Source organism: Homo sapiens, chromosome 7, assembly GCF_000001405.40.
Source record: "Homo sapiens chromosome 7, GRCh38.p14 Primary Assembly".
Classification (NCBI taxonomy): Eukaryota; Metazoa; Chordata; class Mammalia; order Primates; family Hominidae; genus Homo; species Homo sapiens.
In genome coordinates, this window is record NC_000007.14 from 38,374,971 (window position 1) to 38,399,636 (window position 24,666).

At 40.5% G+C, this 24,666-nt stretch overlaps 1 protein-coding gene and 1 long non-coding RNA gene across 8 annotated transcripts in view, besides 7 other annotated features; one reads left to right on the forward strand and one right to left on the reverse strand.

Annotated features, from left to right (window-relative positions):
- The window catches only part of TRG-AS1 (T cell receptor gamma locus antisense RNA 1), a 37,220-nt gene extending 33,550 nt beyond the window's left edge, over positions 1–3,670 (forward strand). The window contains exon 4 of the long non-coding RNA NR_040085.2: positions 587–3,670. This is a non-coding gene — a long non-coding RNA (T cell receptor gamma locus antisense RNA 1). The remainder of the gene's footprint in view (positions 1–586) is intronic.
- Positions 3,671–8,733: 5,063 nt separating this feature from the next.
- Positions 8,734–24,666, reverse strand: part of AMPH (amphiphysin) — a 247,670-nt gene continuing 231,737 nt past the window's right edge. For all 7 annotated transcript variants that reach the window (XM_006715690.5, XM_011515271.4, XM_017011996.3 and 4 more), the window contains 4 exons: positions 19,035–19,244; positions 16,778–17,047; positions 14,834–14,935; positions 8,734–9,955 (listed from right to left, as the gene is read on the reverse strand). In XM_006715690.5, the coding sequence (XP_006715753.1) occupies positions 9,848–9,955; positions 14,834–14,935; positions 16,778–17,047; positions 19,035–19,244 (690 nt within the window). In that variant the 3' untranslated portion in view covers positions 8,734–9,847. The remainder of the gene's footprint in view (positions 9,956–14,833; positions 14,936–16,777; positions 17,048–19,034; positions 19,245–24,666) is intronic.
- Positions 18,212–18,381: an enhancer, noted in NCBI's record as "experimental_98536 CRE fragment used in MPRA reporter constructs". NCBI's record gives its function as "activates a minimal promoter by MPRAs in K562 erythroleukemia cells, with activity observed for the non-introgressed 7:38432867 variant allele {active_cell/tissue: K562}" and the evidence as "EXISTENCE:reporter gene assay evidence [ECO:0000049][PMID:34662402]".
- Positions 19,009–19,058: an enhancer, noted in NCBI's record as "active region_25872". NCBI's record gives its function as "activates an Ori minimal core promoter by ATAC-STARR-seq in GM12878 lymphoblastoid cells {active_cell/tissue: GM12878}" and the evidence as "EXISTENCE:reporter gene assay evidence [ECO:0000049][PMID:35858748]".
- Positions 19,566–19,735: an enhancer, noted in NCBI's record as "experimental_98538 CRE fragment used in MPRA reporter constructs". NCBI's record gives its function as "activates a minimal promoter by MPRAs in K562 erythroleukemia cells, with activity observed for both the introgressed and non-introgressed 7:38434221 variant alleles {active_cell/tissue: K562}" and the evidence as "EXISTENCE:reporter gene assay evidence [ECO:0000049][PMID:34662402]".
- Positions 20,008–20,177: an enhancer, noted in NCBI's record as "experimental_98539 CRE fragment used in MPRA reporter constructs". NCBI's record gives its function as "activates a minimal promoter by MPRAs in K562 erythroleukemia cells, with activity observed for both the introgressed and non-introgressed 7:38434663 variant alleles {active_cell/tissue: K562}" and the evidence as "EXISTENCE:reporter gene assay evidence [ECO:0000049][PMID:34662402]".
- Positions 20,008–20,268: a biological region, named in NCBI's record as "Neanderthal introgressed variant-containing enhancers experimental_98539 and experimental_98540".
- Positions 20,099–20,268: an enhancer, noted in NCBI's record as "experimental_98540 CRE fragment used in MPRA reporter constructs". NCBI's record gives its function as "activates a minimal promoter by MPRAs in K562 erythroleukemia cells, with activity observed for both the introgressed and non-introgressed 7:38434754 variant alleles {active_cell/tissue: K562}" and the evidence as "EXISTENCE:reporter gene assay evidence [ECO:0000049][PMID:34662402]".
- Positions 21,469–21,638: an enhancer, noted in NCBI's record as "experimental_98545 CRE fragment used in MPRA reporter constructs". NCBI's record gives its function as "activates a minimal promoter by MPRAs in K562 erythroleukemia cells, with activity observed for the introgressed 7:38436124 variant allele {active_cell/tissue: K562}" and the evidence as "EXISTENCE:reporter gene assay evidence [ECO:0000049][PMID:34662402]".

A 24,666-nucleotide genomic window follows, 5' to 3' on the forward strand; every position in this document is an offset into this window, starting at 1 on the left:
CAACATTGCTCTAGGAAAAGCCTATTCTATATAGACTCCTTAACAAAAACATTGATTCCTAAAGGTCTTCTGAATGTTTGGATAGCCAATGGCTTTGCAGCCCAGCCTGGCCACTACATGAGGCCGATGACTTTAACAAACTTATTTCAGGCCAGTGTAAATGCAGTGTTCAAAAATCCCACCTAAGAAGGATGGGAACACGGAGGTTTGTGTAGGTAACATGCAGGTGTGTGCACATGTACCCAAGAATGCACACACACATACATGGACACAACTGCAATTGATACAAAAGGCTGAACTGTGCTGATTCTTACAGGTACTTGGTTCTGGCCCAGTCTGGAAAAAAAGAAAAGATCCTTAGTCTAAACATGCATACAAAATAGAATTCCCACCATGCTTTGATGTTATCTATTTATAATTTTCAATGTTTCAATGTTTTGTGGTCTTAAAAATTACAAGGATTATTATCAATAATCCTTGTACCTAATGTGCCTTGACTCTGAAGGACATGGTAACTGCCTGTGGTTTAGAAAATGTTTTGGCTAAAAGACAAGTTCTCCTCCCTCCTCTCATTTTTATATCACAGAGCTGCACGGGGGCTTGGATCAATGCCTGAATCCAGTGTTCCTGAGTGCAGAGCATCTTTGCTCTGGGTGAGCTTTGACCATCCTGGAGAAGAAGGCTGCTGCGGGGGTGGGACAAAGCCAAGACCAATGCCCAGCGGCCAAGGCCAGCCAGATGGCTCTGTGCTGGCAGCCAGTGTACACGGATTTTACCTGAAGGAAAATGTCACATTTTCCACAGACAACTGAAGAAAGAGAGCTCTTTGGATTACCCTAATTGTGATTTACTCATTGGAACCACTGTTTTGGATTGTCCAAAATTAAGTCTCAAAGCTTAAATATGAGGCTTCAGGGAGTTATCCTGAAATCAGTGCTTGGTATCTTCTTGTTTTTTGCTTGTTTTTTAAAACCTTAATTCTCATATTTTTCTGTCATATTTCTCAGTGCCTGGTACATTATCACCATTAATCCATGCCAGTTATGTACAGTTTTGCATGTTTGTTTTTTATTTTACTCTTTTCTCTCCTTCATTCCCTATTCCTGTTCCCCCATAGGTGCCCAGTCTAATGTATTTGATATCTGTCCTTAGAGCCTCCGTATCTGTGAAGACTAGAGTCATGCACTTCATCACATTTCAGTAACGATGGGCCGCATGTACCACAGTCCCATGAGATGATAGAGGTGCAGAAAAATTCCTGTCATCTAGTGACATCGTAGCCATCATAACATCACAACACGACTCTCATTTGTGGTGACCCTGGTGTACACAAACCTACTGTACTGCCAGTTGTATAAAAGTCTAGCACATCCAGCTACGCACAGTACATACTTGAAAATTATAATAAATGACCATGTTACTGGTTTATGTAATTACTATATTATACTTTTTAATCATTATTTTAGAGTGTACAACTTCTACTTGTAAAAAAAAAAAAAGTTAACTGTAAAACAGCCTCAGGCAGGCCCTTCAGTAGGAATTCCAGAAGAAGGCACTGTTGTCCTAGGAGATGACAGCTCCATGTGTGTTACTGCCCTGATGACCCTCCGTGGGTACAAGATGTGGAGCTGGACTACAGTGATATTGAAGATCTCGACCCTGTAGGCCTAGGCTAATGTGTGGCTGTGTCTTGATTTTTAGCAAAAATGTTTTAAAAGTGAAAATGTTAAAAATAGAAAACAGTTTATAGAATAAGGATATAAAGAAAATATTTTGTACAGCTGTATAATTTTTTTTTGTTTTTCTTTTCCTTTTTCTTTTTTTTTTTTGAGACGGAGTCTTGCTCTGTCGCCCAGCTGGAGTGCAGTGGTGTGATCTCGGCTCACTGCAACCTCTGCCTCCTGGGGTCAAGCGACTCTTCTGCCTCAGCCTCCTGAGTGGCTGGGACTACCGGCAAGTGCCACCATGCCTGGCTAATTTTTGTATTTTTTGTGGAGATTTTCACCATCTTGGCCAGGCTGGTCTTGAACTCCTGACCTGGTGATCCACCCGCCTTGGCCTCCCAAAGTGGTGGGGTTACAGGCGTGAACTACAGGGCCTGGCCTGTTTGTGTTTTAAGCTAAGTGTTGTTAGGAGTCAAAAAGTTAAAAAATAAAAGTTGCTAAAGTAAAAAAGTTACAGTCAGCAAAAGCTAATTTATTAATGAAGAAAGAAATGTATGTTTTGATCAATTTAGTGTAGCCTAAGTGTCCAGTGTTTATAGTCTACAGGAGTGTACAGGAACGTCCTAGGTCTTCACATCCTCTCACCACTCACTCATTGACTCACTCACCCAGAGTAGCTTCCAGACCTGCAAGCTCCATTCATGGTAACTCCCCTATACAGGTGTTACAGTACTTAAAATTTTATATCCTATTTTTACTGTAGGTTGTCTCTGTCTAGATATATTTGGATACACACATACTTACCAATGTGTTACAGTTGCCTGCAGCACTCAGTACAGTAACATGCTGCACAGCTTTGTAACCTAGAAACAACAGGCTACACCTATAGCCTCTGTGTAGTAGGCTGTGCCATCTGGGTTTGTGTTCTACAACGTTGCATTCTACAATGTTCACACAAGGATGAAATCGCCTAAGGACACATTTCTCAGAATGCTTCCTCATTGTCAAGCAATGCATGACTGTATATAGAATTGTTCATAAATACTGTGTTTTTCATCCATGTAAATGGCATGCCATTTCTACCTATCCACGTCTGCACACCAGCTCATGCCCCTCATTCATGCTCCTTTCTGCTGCTCACCGCTCCACAGCTGGCAGCCCCTGCATTCCATCCATCCATTCCCCCAAACATGGGCATGTTGCTATCAGCAGGGAGCTGTGATGGACCCCTCACAGGGTCCTCTTATTCCTCGTGCAAGCCTTTCCCTGGGAAGTTCCTCCCAGCATTGCTGGTCAGGGGGAACACACACTCACATCTTCACTAAATGCTACCAGTGCTATGGTGTTATCAGAAACTTTATTTATTTATTTTTTGCCAATATGATAGCTATCAAGCTACCCCATCTCTACTAAAAATACAAAATTAGGCCTTTAGTAGAAACCCTGTCTCTAGTAAAAATACAAAAATTAGCTGGGCATGGTGGCACACACCTGTAATACCAGCTACTTGGTGGCTGAGGCAGGAGAATTGCTTGAACCCAGGAGGCAGAAGCTGCAGTGAGCCAAGATCGCACCACTGCACTCTAGCCTGGGCAACAGAGAACCTGTCTTAAAAACAAAAACAAAAAAAATGGCACAGGTCTGATTATTAGGAAGCTGAGGTTCTTTTTTATACTTAGTATTCACTGAAGTGTGAATTACCTTTCATGTCCTCTAAACATACCAACAAGGAGGCTGGAGTTAGGACTTATGTTAGAGCCAGCCTGCCTGGGGCACAGCCTGGCCCTGCCATTTATTGACTGTGTGACTTTGAGAAAGCTTCCTCATGTAACTCTATCTTAGCTTCCCTGCCTGTAATAAGTAAAAACAGCAACTACCTCATAGATTTGTAAAGATTACATAAAATAATACATGCAATGCATGGCAAACGACAGTCAACGAATGTTATTATTATATTAACTATTGCCATATTATAAATATAAATAAATATAAATGATATAAACAAACTAATAATAGTAATTATTCATTTATTCTTGACTTGAATGAGATCCTTGTGTACTTTAGACATTTATCCTTTGTGAATTTGGGATGGTACAAATATCTTAGGCAAGTCTATCATCTGTCTACCAACTAACTATCTCAAATATCTTTTCATTAAATATAAATTCTTAATTTTGGAGTCAAACTCTTTTTTTTTTTTTTTTTTTGCCCATATACTTTGGGTGTTTCCGAGTCTCATTTAAGAAAACTTTCCCCTCTCCAATATCACAGAAGTATTTTGCATTTTCTTCTCACACTCAGTTTCAAATTTTATTCCATGTTGATCCTGGGATTAGGGTTTCTGGACTTCCCTGAACTAATCGTTCAATCAGCCTCTTGTTCGTTCACTCAGCACACAAGTATACAAGATCCAGAAGTGAATACAGCATGCAGAGAAGGTTGGAGACAGTGTGCCTCTTGGTAGGGGAAATGAAGGGCTAGGGAGTATCATATTTACTCTAAATGTGGAAAGAATGTAGAAGGATGAGAGGACGGGGGATTTTGAGGATACAGGGCTTGGACTACGCCTGGGGGATGGGATTAGAGGCCAACAGGAGAGGGGAAGGCATCCCAGGAGAGGGGTTTTGCAAAACGGCAAGAAAGGTGTATAGCTGAGGGGGAGAAGGCGGGTGGGGTGCTGAGGAGACGCCTCTGAAGCAGGCAGTGGATGAATACTGGGGAAGAGGTGAAGTTCAGCTCTGAAGACCAAGCAGAGGCTCCTGGATCTGGTATGACATGCAGCAGATATTCATCATTTGTGTATGTGTTTCTGAGAGGGAGAGGCGAGGAGGGAGTGGGGACCTGTTGGGTACTTAAAATGGGTGGGCAGTAGGGTACGAGGAAGACAAGAAGTCAGGTGGCAAGGGAGACAACAAGGATCCAATTTGTCTTCTCTGTCAGTGTGAAGAACAGAACCCCGACTAGATTAAAGTGCAAGGTTGTATGTTTTGCAGGGAAATCATAGCAGGTGCCCCAAATCTGGAAAATGATGCACAAAGGAAGCTCCCAAGTCTTCAGGCCCAAGATTCTGAAGAATGGAGGAGCCCCTCAGTGACGCACCATGGAGGGGTTTGGAAGGAAGTCCCTCAAGCGTGAAGTCTAAATCTTATGAATGCGGTCCCCATGTACAGTAACTGACACTTAGCTGGTGCTTGATATATTTTAATGAACAAATGAACATGTGGACTTGGAAGCAATAATTGGACACTCCAAAGGCAACATTCCTTGGACAACTGGAACACAAATTGAAGGACAGGTCGCTATTGCCCCACCCCACTTCCAGCAACCACAGGAAGGAGGAAAAAAAATTAGGAACAGTAACAGAGAAGGAACAACAAGAGAGGTAAGAAAACAAGGAAAGTTCGTATCTTGGAATCTTGGGGGAGAATTGGAAGTTTGGTGGCATCTCCAAATGCCACAGACAGCACTTTGTGATCACTGGTAGGGTTTTGGAGAGCAGAGCATAATGACACAGAGTTTAATATTTACTGGTGGGAGAGGGTGTAGGGTATCAGCCATGTGGCAAGGTGCGTATGGACAAGGCACTCCTGGGCTGGACTGGTTTTACAGGGCATCAGAGTGCAGCAGGGAGGGAAATAAGCATGCAATTCTGACCCAACCCTCAAGAATCAAACAACCTGAGTGTTTGACCTGAGATCGGGGGGACTGGGAATTAACTGGATTTTAGGAAACAAAGATAAAATTTAGATTTCTTTGGAAAGAGCTTCAGGGTACCTACCTGGCCTTCCTCTCAATTTGCATAGATGTAAGGGTTATGTCTCAAATATCTTTTAAGTGGAAAAAGTCACTATTTGCTGCTGCTTGTTAAGTGATCCTTAAAAGGTATTACCAATGAGTCACAAAATATTTGGATGGAATATTAAGCTTATTCGCGCATGGTTTATTTGGCTTTATGAACAACTTATCAACCCCCTACTGTGTGCCTTGAAGAACGCTGCCCGTGAACATCCAGGCGGTCTCCTCCTGGTGATTCAGGACAGGATCATCATCAAACAGGGATGCACCTGCAGGGCTCAAAGATGAACAAAACCACCTGGATCTCCATTTTCTAAGTCTTCCAAGAGAATATTGGTCATTGTCTTCTCTGTGCTGTTACCAAATGTCCGATTCCATTTACTGAAGTCCTAGGAAAGTCTCACACCAGGAAGACGGTAGCTACAGCACTGTGTAGAAAAGCTGTGCGATCTGCTCATCTCCAAGTTCTGACACGTTTGTAAGGTTTTTAGTTGAGTTCCAAGTAAAAACCAGAAGGCAGCTGTTAGTTGGGCTCCTTTGAAAAGAGGAGTAGAGTCCTATCAAGGCCAATCCATTGGCCAGTCTATTTCTAAGGCTTCAAGGTGTTCAGCCATGCAATTTTGCATGGAATAAAGCACTGAGCTTCCGCCATCTTTAAACTCATTGAGTTCTCATAACTTTTGTAGTTTCCCGAAGGCATTTTCTTTAATGGGCCATCTGAATGGGCCATGGGGTCATGCTGGGATTGTTCCAATGACCTGGTTAGAGGCTTCTTTATGTAAGAAAAGAGGGCTCAGAATTCTAAACGTGCACACTCCACTGGGCAGCCTAAGATGTGATGGATATGGTTTTCTGGCTGACTCCAAAGCCACCCCAGCTTTGTCAGGAAGAGCAGGCGTGGTGGAAGCAATGCAACAGCATGGTATGGGAGCTTTTACCTGTCCCAGGGGCCCTGGCTACCCTGAGATAGTGTTAAAAATTGAAATTGCTGGCCAGGTGCGGTGGCTCACACCTGTAATCCTAGCACTTTGGGAGGCTGAGGCCGATGGATCACTAGGTCAAGTTATCAAGACCATCCTGGCCAACATGGTGAAACCCTGTCTCTACTAAAAATACAAAAATCAGCCAGGCATGGTGGCACGCACCCGTAGTCCCAGCTATTTGGGAGGCTGAGGCAGGAGAATTGCTTGAACCTGGGAGGCAGAGGTTGCAGTAGGCTGAGATCATTCTACTGCACTCCAGTCTGGCGACAGAGCGAGACTCTGTCTCAAAAAAAAAAAATTCAAATTGCCAGGCAATTTTACTTTGCAATTATATGCATCACACAGGTTTACATGAGTGACTATTTGTCATATTGGTAGGAATGCCAGGTAGGTGTATGTTTAATAAGAACTACTGGCTTTCTTTCCAAACAGTTCTGACTCATAACTATTTGAAGGTCTGCATGACATTGGGTTTCTAAGAAGAATCTTAAATCATGGAGAGGAAGCTCAGAAAGGACCAAGGCCTGACTGGGTGTGGTGGCTCACGCCTGTAATTCCAGCACTTTGGGAGGCTGAGGTGGGCAGATCATGTGGTCAGGAGATCGAGATCATCCTGGCTAACACAGTGAAACCCCATCTCTACTAAAAAATACAAAAAAAATTAGCCGGGTGCGGTGGCGGGCACCTGTACTCCCAGCTACTTGGGAGGCTGAGGCAGGAGAATGGTGTGAACCCGGGAGGCGGAGCTTGCAGTGAGCCGAGATCACGCCACTGCACTCCAGCCTGGGCAACAGAGCAAGACTCCGTTTAAAAAAAAAAAAAATGAAAGGACCAAGGCCTGGTTCAAGGCCATTTGGGATACAATACAAACTTGCCATTATATGACTGGGTGATGTGCCTAGGATGGGTTGGTGGTGTGAGAACTTGAACGGAATAACTGAGAAAGAGAAGTGGAAAGAACTTTACACTAGTAATCCCAGAAAGTCCTTGAAACTAACATTCCTTAGAAAATCCACTGAAATGGAAAACAATGTTCACTCCACATTCAAGGACATTTCTGGGGAATGCCACCACCACACGCCCATCCCCTCCATCTCCTTCATTTTCAATGCATTAGGAATTCTTGGATTTTGGCAATTCCTGAAACAAACAAACAAAAAATCTGATAACTCTTATTTAGTGTAAAAAAAAATCCAAAGGCATTTTAAAAAACAGGACTAAATAGCTAATTAAAATCACGTCATTTCAGAAGAACTTGTTACATTCATCTAGGAACATTCATCTAGGGCTACAGTTATCTGGGCCATGTCCTGGCAAACTGTACACTGTGAGCAGCCACTGTGGGCAGGAGGGTGAAAGGAATTTAAGAATGATTCATCACATCTTCTGCTCCAGGAGATGTGGCAAGCCAATTATCTTTGCAGAACATTAGGTGCATTTTATTATTAGAGCGAATTTTTCAGTCTTGGCTTTTAACATCCTGTGTGTACTCTACTGTCAGGAGTGGCTTTCTATTACGAATCTTACATTGCTGCATTCCACTTGCTGAATTATCAGTCATGCTCCTGGGCAGTGACATTTGCTTTTCTTGCACTAGAATAGCATTCATGATGACCCAGCTTCTCTGTATATTAGCCCCTGGAAAAATCTTGGCTCAAAAACAGTTATTTCCCTATTCACACTTAAAACAACAAAGTCAGTAATACACCAGGAAGATTCAAACCATGAATCAGGAATACATACTAAATCTAAAAGTCTAATAATATACATTCTTGATCAGCCTATGTTGTATAAAGAATTATATTAGCAGAAAAGAGTCCAAATCAACTAAAAGGATTTGCGTTAAGAATTCTCTTTTGGAAATAATGGCCAAGTGAATTCACTTTTCTATTCCAACTGATCTAATTTTTATGTACCTACGAACATAAACATGCCAAAAAGGAAAGTGACCAGAAAATGAAGCTGGTGTGAGAAGAAATTGCTGATTATGAAGGTCGTAAGATTATCAGTGATTCACGGACTGGGAGTCTACAGCCGGCACCTTTAAGGGCTCTCCGTTGGCAGCTGTTATTGGTGCTGCAGTAATTGCTGGATGTCAGGGAACACCGAGTGACCAGCAATGACTGGAATGAAAGAAGTGGGGAGGTGCGGTGGGGGCGTGGAGTGCAACCTAGTGGAAGAACAAGCATATTTCTGCACAAATAACAACTCCAATACCAACTGTTTCAAGCAGAGTATCCGACTGGAACAAAATTTCCAAAAAAAAAAAAAAAAAGACTCATCAAAAGGAATTAGGGTAATCGTTGAAGATTACCAAAGGTTTATTTGGAATGACACAGCACTGAAAACATAATTGTTACAGATGATTTGTGGATACAGCATACACCATCTATTTTACTTTAGAACAATCTGTGAAGATGAGTTGCATAAATAGAAAGAGGTGGAAATATAGAGGAGCTGTTTTTATAGTGTTCTTTTGGGGGTAGATGAATATGCCCCATCTTTCTACCCAATCTCATAAAGGCAGAAGAGAAGACTGCTTAGCTGCCCATCCCAACTAGCCTACCTCCAGCCACAGCGGCTGGACAGCTAGATAAATCAGGCCCTGCCTTCTCTGAGGGTGCCTCAGTGTAGTCGTGCTATCTGTCATCTCATCCTGAAAACTGCACAGTACAAACACAGATACTGTTGACTCTTTTGCCAATGGGATGGCTGGTTTTGCCATTAGGCAAAACTGCAATTGTAATGCCAGACAGAATAAGAGCAATGCATGTATCAATGACAATTGAGAGGCAAAGAGCTACAATGGAAAGGAAAGAAGCAACTATGTATATGTAGCCTTCTGCATACACATAGATCCAGGAGTCATGGGAACTAGCTTGCGTGACTGTGTGTCCATATATATATAGATGTGTTGGAAAAGAACATTGAGAACTTTTGCAGCAGTTTAGTTTTAAACATAGTAAACCTGAAAGGGAGCGAGAGCACGTGCTCACACCTGGGCAGGGGAATAAGATAATCTTGTACTACAGGATAATTCATCACATCTTCTGCAGGGCAGCCACTCAATACGATACACCTGATGCAGAGAAATTAAAGTCTGATCTGGAGAAAGCTACTTTAGAATTGGTGGGAGGGGATCAAGTACAAGAGTCTCCACAGCTTGGACAAAGCACAAACAAACCTGTTATTGACAACATGGGAATGAGTGAGGATTTTTTCCTTAATTTACTTTTTTTCCTCTTACATTTTTTTGCACACATGCTCCATTGATACATCTTCCCAAGGTTTGTCTGGCATCAGTCTGTAAATCATTAAGAGCATAATAACAAAAGTGAACTCTTCAGGTTTTCATGAAGGTTTAAAAACCCCGTAACTGAGCTCCTTCTTGCAGTACTTGTTGCCCTAATCTAAGCGTCGGGTGAAGTTCTCTGGAAAGAGGCCTTTGTAGGTGGCAAGGTCTCTGTACTGAAGCCAGTCTGATTCCTTCACTCCCACCAGCCAGCCTGCATCCTGAAAAACAATGACAGAACTTTCAGGGTCCAGCAAACTACTGGAAAATCCACACTGCCACAATTAATTAATAATGTGTTACATTAGTGTTGTGGTTCTGAACCAGGATGTCACATTACAGGTAAAGTGCTGTGCCGTGATCAATGGGAAGGCCTATCCCAAATAAGTTGTTAGTTAAAAAAAAAAAGAAAAAGAAAAAGAAGGAATAAACATTTGCAATGACTTATTGACTGTATAAAGTATAGCTAATGCTTTGTACATTGTGACTGTACAAAGCATAGTTAATTGATATTAACTGGATTATAATATGAGTTCTTAAAGAGGAGAAAAGGATTACAATTACAACCAGTGCAAAGACAGGAATACCATGTGAAAGCATTTCATGCACAAGAGCATGACCTGTTCTGGGGTCACAGTGTAAAAAAGGTTTGAGGTTGCTTGGGTTAGAATGGAATACTGATGAGGCCATGGAATATCTTATATTTCATCCCAAGCCACTTGCTCATAAGAAAGAACTCTGACCCCCAGCTCATATCCTATAACCCCAATAAACTACCTATGTAGATGTAGGGCTCATCAAATACTAAAAGCTAGATGTGTGTTGCCTTATATTACTATTTTTGTTTTTATAATACCTAATTTTTCAAGTTTATATAAACTACAAAGCAGTTGGATGTCATGGCATTCTTGCTGGAAGCGCTCCTATATCCTTTATAAATTATTCCTCATAAACATTTGTCTGTCATATAGAAGTGCCATCACAAAAATGAAACAGTTTGCCCCAGAAAGGGTAAAGAACCCATCCATATATGGTCATGCAGAATGGGAGATGATACTTAAAACTGAGAAACAGAGGCTGTGGTCTGCCCTTGGCTTCCTGAAGTTAAGCAGAGTCTAGCTGGAAAAGCTGTGTTGAAAGGAACAGTGGGAAATGAGACCATAGGAAGTGCAAGGAGTGGGAAATGACTATCTTTATTATGTTAACCAGTGCAGAAAGGAAATTCCAGTTCAGATGAGGGATGGCCAGGTTTAGTCTGAACAAACCCCCAACATAGTTCAAGTATATCAGATAAAATGAGGCCTCAAAAATTAAATGAAGAAGCTGAATTCATTCCCTTTTGATATAATCTGAGACTCTAAATTGATGCTGCCATATAGACAAGAAATATAAGTATTTAGACAGCCCAATTTTTGAAGGCAGGAAAAAAACCGCTGAGGAAAAAAACGACTCAATAAAATAACTGATAATATCCTAGCTGATGAGGAAAAGTGCCCTCTTTAAAATTATGATGTCATATATGTGAAGGACAAAGCTATGCTTAAAATAAAAGATGATAGCTAAATATTTTCTGAAGCTCTAGAAAGCATATAAAAGGTCATTTTTCCCCCACAAGTGTCTATATTTGACTTTATTTACAGTAGGTGAAAAATCTAATGGAGCCAAGTAGAGTTAAGCACTTAAAAATTGTTTCAATAAAGAAAACAAGTAAAGGACTACACAAACCCACAATCAAGATATATTCCAACACATATAATCTGAAAGACAACTTGTAAAGAATATTAGCCAACATCAATCTTTAGCTGAGGAAAATATAAAAAATTAAATATTAACTGCTTAAAATATGTGGTAGAAAAAGATTTCCTGTCTTGGTAATGGTAGAATGGCTTGTATTAGACAACTCCTTCTGGAGAGAATAATTAAAAACATTGGAATAACTATATATCTCCAAATATCTATATATACACATATGCAACTATTTATATAAACAAACAACTCTTGGTTATACAATATATAAAGTGTAAATTTATATATAATGGGATGGGTATAAATAATGGGTAAAACTATTTGAAGATGCTGGAAATGACCAAAAGGAGGCAGAAATTAGAAAGTATTTGACCCTTGAAAGTAGAGAACTGCAAGGGGTGAGATCTATGCTGATACAGCTTTTCCCCTGAGGATTATCCTCACTCAGTGTGATGTGGGGCATTCACAGCATAGAGTGTAAGGCTCCCAGAGAAGCTGTACACTCAGGGGGGTTATCTTGAAAAGAAAGGAATCACTGGGGGATGGGTATCCTAACGTATGTGGATAAACTGCCTTGAAATCCTGGGCTGACCCCCAAGCTGTGCATGCATAAAGGGTACAGACCCACCCTAACAAAGTATAAAACCAACTCCCATCAATTCAAGGGAATTATCCAGTAATTTATATGTCTGCTAAAACAAAAATAAGCAATTTTCAGATATAGAAAACAGAGTCAGACTCTTTACCACGTATGGTCTACCTACTATGTCTAGTATCAATTAAAAAATTATTAGACATGGAAAAACAGGAAAATATGACCAAAAGATTAAAAAGCAAACAATAGAAATATGCCCTGAGATGGCCCAGCTGTTGGAATTAGCAGTAAGAAATTTAAGGCAGCTATTATAAATTTGTTCAAGTATATAAATTGAGAGACAGTAATAATGAAAGACTATAAGTGGGAAATCTCAGCCAAGAAATGGAAACCCATATGAAATAACAATATGGAAATGAAGAATTGTAAGAATCTAATATCTGAGATGAAAAAGTCACTGGATAAATTTAACTACGAACTCAAAGTAGCAGAGGAAACACTCATAGCACTTGAAGGCAGATCAATAGAAATTATCCAACCTGACTACCAGAGAGAAATAGTGAAAGAAAAAGAACAGCATCTTAGCTATCAAGAAGTCCAACTTAAGTATAATTAGAAACCCAGAAAAAAAGAACAAAGAGAATAATTCAGAAAAAAATTAAAGATAAAAAGCAAATGTAGTGAAAAACATTAGGTTACAAGTCTAAGGATCTCAGTGATTTTCAAGTATGAAGACCATAAAAAAAAAAAACCTACCCAAGCACAATATATTTAAACTGATGAAAATCAAAGATACAGCGAAATTTATTAAAAGTAGTCAGGGAAAGTCACTTTGCATACAGAGAAGCAATATTAAACAAATGACAGCTGATTTCTAATTATAAACAATAGAGACCAGAAAACAATGAAACATGTTTAAAGAGTTGAAAGAAAAAAAAATCAACTCAGATTTCTACCTTAGTGAAAGTATTGTTAAAAATTAAGAATAATAAAGACATTTTCAGATATACAGAAGCCAAGAAGATTTGCTGCCAGCAGACTAGCACTTCAGAAATAGCTAAAGGAAGTTCTTTAAGCAGAAAGGAAATTAAGACCAGATAGAAACTCGGACTTAAGGAAAGAATGAAGACCTGGAAATGGTAAACATGGTGGTAAACATAAAAGACTAACTTTTTTTCCTTTTATTTCTTTACAAAATAACTTCTGGTTAATGCAGACAAAAATCCCATTATAAATGGGATTTTTAATATCTTTGAGATGTGTGATGCTGACACCTTTTCTTTGTATTGGTAATTTATGCTTTGTGACTTTTCTTTCTTGAGTATTTCTAAGGTTTTAATAATTTTGTTAATCCTCTCAAAAACCTACTTTCGGCTTTATCAATTTTATCTGTTATAGTCCTTTATTGCATTCATTTGTGAATTTATTTTTATTATTTTCTTCCTTCTATGCATTTTTCTATTTAATTTCTATTTAATGATCATTATGAAATTTTTTTTTAACTCACACTATGATTTATTTGACCCATGGGTTATTTAGAAGTGTATTTTAAAATTTTTAAATCTTTGGGGGCTTTTAAAGATATATTATTGTTATTAATTTTTTGTTTTTTGAGACGGGGTCTTGCTCTGTTACCCAGGCTGGAGTGCAGTGGTGTGATCATGGCTCACTGCAGCCTTGAATTCCTGGGCTCAAGTGATCCTCCCATGTCAGCTTTTTGAGTAGCTAGGACTACAGGTGCACACTGCTGCACCCAGCTAATTAAAAAAAAAATTTTTTGTAGAGATGAGGTCTTGCTATGTTGACCAGGCTGGTCTGGAACTCCTGGCCTCAAGTGATCCTCCTGCCTTGGCCTCCCAAAGTCCTGGGATTACAGGCATGAGCCACCCTGCCCAGCAGATTATTGTTATATAAATTTCCAATCTATTTTATTGTGGTAGAGACTGCTTGACCCAACACCTGATGTATCTTGGTAAGTGTGTTGTCAAAAGAAAGAACAAAATGTTGAACATATTAAGTCTTAACCTCAAAGGCAGTGATGCTTGAATTTATTTTTTAAGGGGAGAGCTCATAAATCTCTTTGAGAATAGTATGGAAGTTAGAGTTTTTCTCTCCAGAAAAATATGTTTACAGATGCATTTACTTGCTCTGCATACCATTTCAAGGGCTCACATATTTTATGAATGAGAACAAGATGGGAGTTCTCAGTACCTTACATCAGACCACTCTTTTAGGAAGTGATATTTTTAAAGAATCTCTTTAAGTTGAGGTATAACTTAAATACTGTGTAATGCAGAGATGATTAGGTATATATAGTTCAATGAGTTTTGACAAATACATGCAGACATCCCTCTCAAGATACAAAGCATTTCCATCACTCCAGAGGGTTCCCCAGGTTCTTTCCTCATCAATATCCACACACCCAGAGGCAACCACTTTTGAAGGGGTCTTTTAGTTCACATTCATAGTGTCTGCATTTCCTGAAGACAGGTGTTACAGAGATAACATTCCCAGAAAGTGGTTACGTGATAAGAAACAGTCAACTGTTTGTATTATATAAAAAAAGAATGCAACAGCATCCCAAAAGGGTGTCCTAGAAACCTCGTTAATGATCTATGCTGTCACAAGCCCTTAAGCCCTTTTCAGATGGCTTGTAGCATCTCAGAAAATAGAAACATCTTTAGGAAGTGATTGTGTCCAACAGACCCTCAGAAAAAAATCAACGTAGCCCAAAGCATCTTCCTATCTTTTCTTTTACCTGATCAGCTTCTGAATCTGAGGGGACCACCAGCACCACATCACCCCTTTGTAAGGTAAGTTCATCAGAATTTGCTGCCTCAAAATCATGCAGTGTTTCCACCTGCAGAAGATAAGAATACATAAAAATCAATTTCCCAGCCAGATTTCAAGCAGACACTCTTACAAGTCACTCTCCAACCTGGATGAAAAGAGGAAGATATTTGCCATATCCCAAGGAGGAAGAAGGCCTCTAAAGCCAGAAGGGAAGTCCTATTCTCTGATATGAGGCCATTCATATGTATATTTATTAATAGTAATGCAATGCCCTCTACAACAGGGAAAAGCACTATATTAATCAAATTTTAATTCATCTTATTTTTGTTAGAGATTTGCATTTTATTATCGCTGATGCTTTATTACTGTTTGTTGTTTAACTGGAACCCAAAATGTCTAAAGCTCCTCTAACCCCAGCTTCTGTCAAATAATAATAAGGAAAACCACCACTTGCAGGTTATACAGTAATTACTACTAAATAAAACTCTGTGATCAATTCTGTGTAAATATATTTCCTTCCTTCCCTATCCTACCTTATATACAATGGCAACCAGTTTCTTTTCCTTTCCCATTTTGAAAAAGATTTCCTTAAAATTTTATTATAGAAAAATATTTTAAAGCAGAAGAAATAACATAATGAACCCCTATGCGTCTGTCACCCAGTCTGAATCACTCTACTGTCATGGCTGATTTTATTTTTCCCACCTTTCCCTCAACTCCACCCCTGAGAGTAAACATTGGCTTTTAAAGTGTGTATTTTGCCATTGAGCATATTCATAGAATCACAAGCTGTCAGAGCTGGAAATGGATTATGTTATCCCTAAATTAATTTTTCTGATTGGAAAACTGATACCCAGAGAGAGGGTCTATATGGGGTGCCTTAGGTTATTCTACAGTTAGTGAGGAGGCCAGAATGGGCCCAGCAAGCTCCAGCCGTGCTTGGCACAAGGCTTCTTGGACTGCTTGTGCTCCAGTTAAAACGGAACCTGGCAGGAAACAACCCCTTATCTAGAGGTTTAGCTTTTCCTCCAAATTAATTTATTCATAAATCCATTATAGCCACCCCTGTCCCCACAAGAGGTAGCAAGGTAGCAGTTACTTTCTAATGGAGAGAGACAAAGACAGAGAGAGAGAGAGAGAGAGAGAGAGAGAGAGAGAGAGAGAGAGAGAGAGAGAGAATGATACAACATTTTACACTTTAGAAGAAAAAGAGCTGATTTTTAAATGTAAAATCAAATTTAAAAACTTAAAATTCCTTTTCAGATTCTATCAGGAAACATCTGAGACAGGAAACACTTAGGTTAAGCCAGTGTTTTTAGGTATTTACTAAGTTTTTTTGGTAAGAACCCTTTGGTTTATGAAGGCTCTAAGTAGCCTGTCTGAGCAAAACCTTCTTCCCATTAACTTAGCCGCCTTTTTTTTCTGCCTTTTGGTGCAAGTTCATTCATACATGAATCCATTAATTTACCAAATATTTATGGGCTCCCTACTCTGTGTCATGCACCCTACAAGGTGCCAGAGTTGACTGAAGGATTGCTGCCCGACCCCCAGGGGATATAGCCGAGTCAGGAGCTCTTGGTGATTCCAAGGCCTGGTCTGAGCCAGGCTCCACAGATTCACAGGCACCTGGGGGAGTAGAGAGGAGGGAGGGCTGGAAAAGACTCTCCCATTCATTACCCAGGGGCATACTGTTTGCCCTGTGGTGAACTTCCCTTTAATTATTCTTTGTTAAAACATGAAAATCTATTACTGTAGTCCTGGCTTGTCCAAGTGATGTTGTGGTGAAGGGAAAGCAGTTCACAGAAATAATAATTGCAAAAAGTAAAAGTAAAAACTGGAAAACCAAAGGCTTGAGCAAAAGGGCCTTAAAGCAAAAAAAGGATAAATGAGACTTAAAAAATAAGAATACCTTGTAGAGAAAGCCAGGAGGCAATTCCTGAGAGGCCTCCCTTGCAGATGCTAGCTGGTCAGCAGCCCCCATGGCTGGTGCAGAAGGCGTGGGCTGAGGGTCCTGGATAGGCTTCTGCTCCGTAGCCAGCTCCGGTGTCTCGCTGGTGGGGCCCGGAGGAGCCGCGTCCTCGGTGGTCTCCTTGGGCTCTGCACCTATAGTTATTTCGTTTTCTCCTTCCTCTTCATGGTTGGAGGCAGGCTCTATGACCACCGAAGGAATGACCTTCTCCTGGGGGAAGAAAAACCGTGGCGATGCCCGGCAGGGCCTGGAAAACAGAACCTCCTTGTCCTGCACAACCTGCCTTAGCCCCCAGCCCAAAGCTGGGGCTGCCACTTCCATACTTCCCCACTAGCCAGACTCAGGTCTGGGCCTTCCGCTGTGCCACACAGCCTCCTTCTGTTCCTCCTGAGGCCTAAACCCTTAGTGGAATTAATTTCTGGATCCTTGAATAGCCAGGCAGTTTGGTAAGCATGAGGTTTCGGTGGGAATTGGGAGGAGGGATAGGGGATGGGAGACAGAGTCTTGAAGGGTGAGGGAGGCCATCCTGAGAGGGATTGCAGGAGGAGTCAATGCAGGCCGGCCTGGTTCTTTTTTTTTTTTTTTTTTTTTTTTTTTGAGACAGAGTCTTGCTCTGTCGCCCAGGCTGGAGTGCAATGACGCGATCTCAGCCCACTGCAAACTCTGCCTCCCGGGTTGACGCCATTCTCCTGCCTCAGCCTCCCGAGTAGCTGGGACTACAGACACCTGCCACCACGCCCAGCTAATTTTTATATTTTTAGTAGAGACGGGGTTTCACCGTGTGAGCCAAGATGGTCTAGATCTCCTGACCTCGTGATCCGCCCACCTCGGCCTCCCAAAGTGCTGGGATTACAGGCGTGAGCCACCACGCCCAGCCCCGCAGGCCAGCCTGGTTCTTGTCCCACGGAACCCTAACTCTTGCGGTTGGCAGTTCACCTCCTGTGAGCCCCTTCCTCCCCTCCCCCAGTCCCAGGAGGCCCCCAGTGCCTGAACCATGCTTGCTGATGAAGATCCAGCCGGGGTTTGGAGATCATCCACTAGTCCTTCGCTTGTGATTATCATTCCAGCCCCACACTGCTGTGGCCGCTGGAGGGACCACACCTCCACAATCCACTCCAAGTACTCTAGTGTCTGAACCAAAGGATTAGGACCACCCTTTCATTTGTTTAACAAAGATGAGCATGGAGGGGAGTTTCATCAGCAGAACGGGAGTCTTTCTATATTCCCTCTGCTATCAGCAGACTAGAGCACTAACATTCGTCAACTTGGAGAGATAATACCGTCTTTCCATGAGTAGAACAACATACACAAAAACACTCTGGGCACTGTGATGAGAAAATCTAAGGGGAAAAAGGAATATTCTTTTAAGTTCCTTCTCCCATAACACTGTTATCTGCCTCAGCCCCCAGCCCAAAAAGGGATAATGAAAGGGATAATTCAGTTTCAAGTTTTAAGTAACCCTGGAGAAATTTTTGAAAACTTATTGGGAGTAAAATCATCAGAAGAAAACAATGCATACCATTAAGCCCTCTCTTAATGTTGCCTTCTAGAATACCGAAGAACCAGACAATGGAGGCAGGCCCTGGGGTTGGAGGCCCTCGCAGTGGTAGAGTATGTGGCTTTGTGGCCTCTCAATGCTGCTCTGAGGCAGTGCCGAGCAGGGCCCCCTCCCGCCTCATGCACGGACCTAATGGCCCTGGTCCCTTTGTTTCCCTTCTCAAAGTGCCACCCAGTGGTGGGCTCTTGGTAAAAGGGGCCTGATGGTGAATTTGGGGCACTCTAATGATAATAATAACCACCAAACAGTAATAAGAATAATAAGATCTAAATACTATTGAGTTCTCCCTGGGCTGAGTGCTCACTTCATCACATTCTCTTTCTCCCGGCTCCATTCTCATCCTTTTCACTGTCCTGCTTCATTCCTTTCTCCACGTCACCCCAGTTTCCCATTCCCGTTTCCATGCTTAGGCCCAGTCAGCCACAGGCCCTGAGGGCCTATATGCAACATTGCAATGCTGATACTGAGCAGCTGGGATTAGTCTTTCTGAGAATCTGATAATAATGTTGTTTGGTGGAGTCACAAAATTGCTACAAACCTATTATACATCCAAAGAGTTATCACCATGAACCAACCAACAGAGCACCCAGCCCATGCTACTTCCCAGGAGCTCCCCTGGCTGCGACATGGGACACTCACCTGAGGCACTGTTGCTTCGAGCTCCTCTGCTTCAGGTTGGGCACTCTCTGCACCCTCAGTGGTTTCAGTTCCAATTTTGGCCTCCTCTAAACTTACTCCTTCCCCGGCAGGGACAGTGGCCTTCTCCGCCTCTGCTTCCTCTCCTGGGGCCCCCTCAGCTGCTGACACCAAGGTTCCAACAGCTGCATCAGCATCAGCTCCAGGTATGATCTGCAGGGCAGAAACCAGCAGGCCACGTCTGCATCTCCATGGGCCTCTGCCAGGAGTCAAACTCAAGCCTATTTCTAATCTCCCCTCTGTGGAGGCTATTCAGATTTGGAACATTCTTTGCACTCCCAGGATTTAGGTACAGCAGAATCTGCCATCTATTCATCAACACTCCGACTTCTCTTCTGCTGAGCTCCCAACAATTCTACACTCCTCAGCTTTCCCTGCTGTCAGGTGTAGCAAATGGGATTAGAATGGAAGTGACATACACCATTCCAAAGACATGGCTTTTAAGGTGTAGGTGGTCCTCTCCACAAGCTATTTCCATTTTTATTGGCTGGAAGCAACAAATGAGGCCTTAGGGGAGTGAAAGAAATAAAATTGAATCTCGGGACCTTAAACTTACCATGCCAAAGGAAAGCTAAGCTTGGGAACGGAGTCACACGAAAACCACCTTCCTTTTGTTCCCAAACACAGGGCTGTAATTTCACACACTTCCTTCATCTTATGTAACATGCAGAACTACAGAGCATGAGATGAAGGCATGAGTGAGTTTGTCCCCACTCCCTCTTTTCACATGTAAAATGTAGATTCACTGAGCGCTAATCAGAGCCTCACAAGAATGTGACACTTGCCTCATTGCCTAACCACCCTCTTTTTAAAAAAATTATTTCCTTCTTGCTTGCTATTTCCCCTTTAAATACTGAAGTTCTCAAAACTCTCTTCAGAAAAAGCACACGTCACAGATCCTCCTTTGACTCGTGTCTCTTTTTCCTGGGTGCATCCTTAACCTTGGCTAAATAAGCCTCTCCATGACTAAGACGTGCCTTGGTCACTTTTTGATTTACATGGCACATCTGGGTCACAGGATGGAAGTGGCCTGGGTCAGAGAGAAAAGCCATATCAGAAAAGCATCCTCATCACACAAAGTCAAAATTTAGAAAGAGTGCATTTTAGTATAAACTTTCAAATCTTTGTGAGGAAGGTTCCAGAAGCCAAATCACTTTCACAGGAAAAAAAAATACATAAGGAAGCTTTCTCAATGAAAACCCTCGAGAATGAAGGGGAAATCATTTTTGTAATCAAATATGCATGGTAATGCTCCAAATAGCTGTAGAGCCTGTTATAGGCAAAATGCCAAAATCATAGTTTAGGTCCAGTAAGGAGAAGTGAAATAGAAAAAAGTCAGAATTTTCTTTCTAAGGTAGAAACACAGAAGAAGAGTTTTAAGTACTATTTAAAATTTGAGATAATGAAATAAAGGAAATGCAATCAGAAATTTTAGTTTTGAACAAATGGGTTGGAGTCCAACTCTTTAAACAGGATTCTGACAACATCAGCTTGGCAGACTTGATTTGAGAGGTTCACGTGAGAAAGACTATGTTAGAAGAATCTCAGGTTGATCTTATATAATATATCCGGGACACATATTTCAAAAATGGCTCTTACTATCTGATGGGATTAGGATTAACTATTTTTTCTTTGTTGAATACATTCTATCCAGTTCAACATCTTAAGTTAGGAAGGCCCTAATATTGCAAATATTAACTTTCAAACTCAGAAAACAGAAAAGGACAATGAAGAGTACCTCCGAGTGAGCATCAGAAATCGGAGATGAAGAACATGAACCACACATCTACACTTATAACAAAGCAGTTTTAAAAACGTTTCTGCTGGCTCAAAGGTACAGGTAATAGTTTAAATAAAAATGCCTGTTACAGAATATATACAGTACATTTTTCTATAAGATAATATTTTATTTGGGAATGAAAAAGAAATGTTAACAGCTATACTACTCATTATATGTCCAAGTATTTACTCATATTCTTAGAAACTTATTTCCCTCTCTTATGAGAATCTCCTATTACGAGGATGTGGCTCTCCAAATGTGCAATCCCTAGCCATGACATACTTCCTTCTTTCTGCCCTGTCATGAAAGTACATGTGACATGGTTTGGCTCTGTGTCCCCACCCAAATCTCATCTTGTAGGTCCCATAATTCCCATGTGTTGTGGGAGGGACTTGGTGGGAGATGATTGAATCATGGGGGTGGGTCTTTCCCATGCTGTTCTCATGATAGTGACTGGGTCTCACCAGATTTGATGGTTTTAAAAATGGGAGTTTCCCTGCACAAGCTCTGTTTTTGCCTGCTGCCATCCATGTAAGATGTGACTTGCTCCTCTTTGCCTTCCATCATGATTGTGAGGCCTCCCCAGCTATGTGGAACTGTAAGTCCAATAAACCTCTTTCTTTTGCAAATTGCCCAGTCTCAGGTATGTCTTTATCAGCAGCATGAAAATGGACTAATACAATATGGGTTCACAAAAGTAATGATTTCTCATGAATTGTAACAGACACTTATTTAAAGTGAATTATAAATGCTGATCATTATTGAAGTGGGGTAACAAGTACATGAGGGTTTATATTTTGGCAAATGGCTGAAAATTCCTATAATAAAAAGTTTATTTTGAAATCGAATAGACTTTCATCACTGTTTTAAATAAGCACCGACCTTTTTATGGATGCTATTGTTACTGTTGTCAAGAGAATAGTAATCAGAACATAAATTAGTAGGGCATCTTAATCCTGAGAAGAACAAGGAGCAATTGCTCATAGCTTTATTGTCGGAGACATTAACAGGATTTCTCTACGACACTAAGGACCTAATAAAGTTTCTTCTATGTTAAAAACTATACTGAAAGAAAATGTGCATGCAATAAACTTATGAGCTCAAATGTAGAAAATAAGTTGTGTCATGATTACAAGCTTATTCTCTCCATCTGTCTGGAAAATCACACCTATGAATATCCCACTAGTTTCAACAGCTTGGAAGCAGATGGACTCTATCTACATGCAGACGGTATGGACAAACAGAGCAGCAGACACCACCACTACACACACATGCAGCAGAGGCACTGCTACAGATGAAAAAGCAGACAGGATGTTATTCCATGGGCTACTCTCCCAAGTGATTATGCATAAATCCTTTTATACATATATGTTCCAACCACACATTATTACTAATTGGCTTTTAGTCTCAGTTGAATTGATACTACATCTCTGGGAGAGGATATCTTTCCATGACCTATAGATGGTGTTGCCACAGGTGATTTTTTAAACTTGTTCCATACGAACATAATGTTTATTATTAACCTGTAACTTGTCTCTAGATATCTATCAATTTGGTTGTATAAGATTTTACCATCACTAAATATACATGTTATCACCTTTCCTTTGCTAGATAATTTAAGCAGGCAACGAAACTGGACTCCTATCTTTTGCCATATACAAAAATTAAATAAAAATGGATTAAATACTTAAATATAAGTCTTCAAACTATGAAACTACCAAAAGGAAACATTGGGAAAGCTCTCTAGGACACTGGACTGGGTAAAGATTTCTTGAGTAATATCCCAAAAGCACAGGCACACAAAGCGAAAATGGACAAATGGGATTACGTCAAGTTAAAAAGCCTCTGCACTGCCAAGGGAACAATCAACAAAGACAACCTGCAGAATGGGAGAAAATATTTGTGAACTACCCATCTGACAAGGGATTAATAACCAGAATACATAAGGATCTCAAACAACTCTATGGGGAAAAAATCTAATAATTCCAATTAAAAAATGGGCAAAAGATCTGAATAGACAGTTCACAAAAGAAGACATAAATAGCAAACAAGTATGTGAAAAGGTGCTCAACCTCACTGATCATCAGAGAAATGCAAATCGAAACTACAATGAGATCTCATCTCACCCCAGTTAAAACGGCTTTTATCCAAAAGACAGGCAATAACAAATGCTGGCGAGGAAGTAGAGAAAAAAGAAACCTCATATACTGTTGGTGGAAATGTAAATTAATGCAACTATTATGGTGAACAGTTTGGAGGTTCCTCAAAAAAAAAAAAAAACACAAAAACTAAAAGTAGAGATACCATATGATCCAGCAATCCCACTGCTAGGTATATACTCAAAAAAAAAAAAACAAAAAAAAAAGGGAAATCAATATATCAAGGAGGTATCTGCACTCACATGTTTATTGCAGCACTATTCACAATAGCCAAGATTTGGAAGCAACCTAAGTATCCATCAACAGATGAATGGATAAAGAAAATGTGATACATATATACAATGGAGTACTATTCAGCCATAGAAAACAATGAGATCTTGTCATTTGCAACAACATGGATGGAACTGGAGGTCATTATGTTAAGGGAAAAAAGCCAGGCACAGAAAGACAAACTTTGAATGTTCTTACTTATTTCTAGGTGCTAAAAAGTAAAACAATTGAATTCATGGAGACAGAGAGTAGAAGGATGCTTACCAGAGGCTGGGAAGGGTAGTGAGGAAGTAGGGGGGATGGTTAATGGGCACAAACAATAATTAGAAAGAATAAATAAGACCTAGTATTTCATAACACAAACAGGGTGACTACAGTCAACAATAACTTATTGTACATTTTAAAATAACTAAAAGAATATTACTGGATTATAATGCAAAAAAAGGATAAATGCTTAAGGAGGTGATAGATATATTTACCCTGAGGTAATTACTACATGTCATATATCTGTATCAAAATATCTCACGTACCTCATAAATATATCCACCCCCTACGTACCCACAAAAGTTAAAAATAAACATAAAATAAAATAATAAAAAACAGGTATTAGCTGCTGTGACACCAACCACCAGCAGGTGGCGGCCAAAGGCTCTGCCTGACTGCTCTGACGTTCCTGACGTTGTAGGAGCAAATACCTCAGCCTCAGCACCTCAGCTGTGATTTTTGTCACATAAAAAAGAACTGCAGCATGCAGAAAACGAATTTTAAGAATGATAAATAAATATCAGGAAAATACCGAAATTAACAACTCTGGCAAAGGTAAGGTGCTAAGGAATTGGCACTTTAGACTTTAAAGAGAAGCCAAACAATTTTAATGATCTACTTGGAAAACAAACAACACTCCTACACCCTACTTTGAGTCCATTAGTAATGAATTCCCATTTTTCCAGCTGCTGTTTACTTACCACGTTGATTTTACAGGGCTTAAAAACTACATAAACAGAGAAGGATCATCCACTATCTGCGTATCCTCATAGCTTTCTGTTTCTGACACTAGTCTGATGATCAGGGGGCATCAGTCCTCCCTTTATGTCTGGAATCTGGTCCAGATGTTTTGCTCTTACCAAAATACTTCCAATGCCGTATTTACTGACCGCAAGAATAGAACAACATAAAAATACAATGGAAAACAGGAACCCATTTGTTCAGATTAGGTGTTAGCTGTAGATAAAATCAAGGAAAGAGTAAAAAGGTTTTCATCAATGAAAGTTATACCTCTTATTATTATTGTTGTTGTCATGCATTTCAATTTGTTAGCTATTTGTAGAGCTATAAAAGAAAAAACATTTTCTATGCTCTGCTTGCT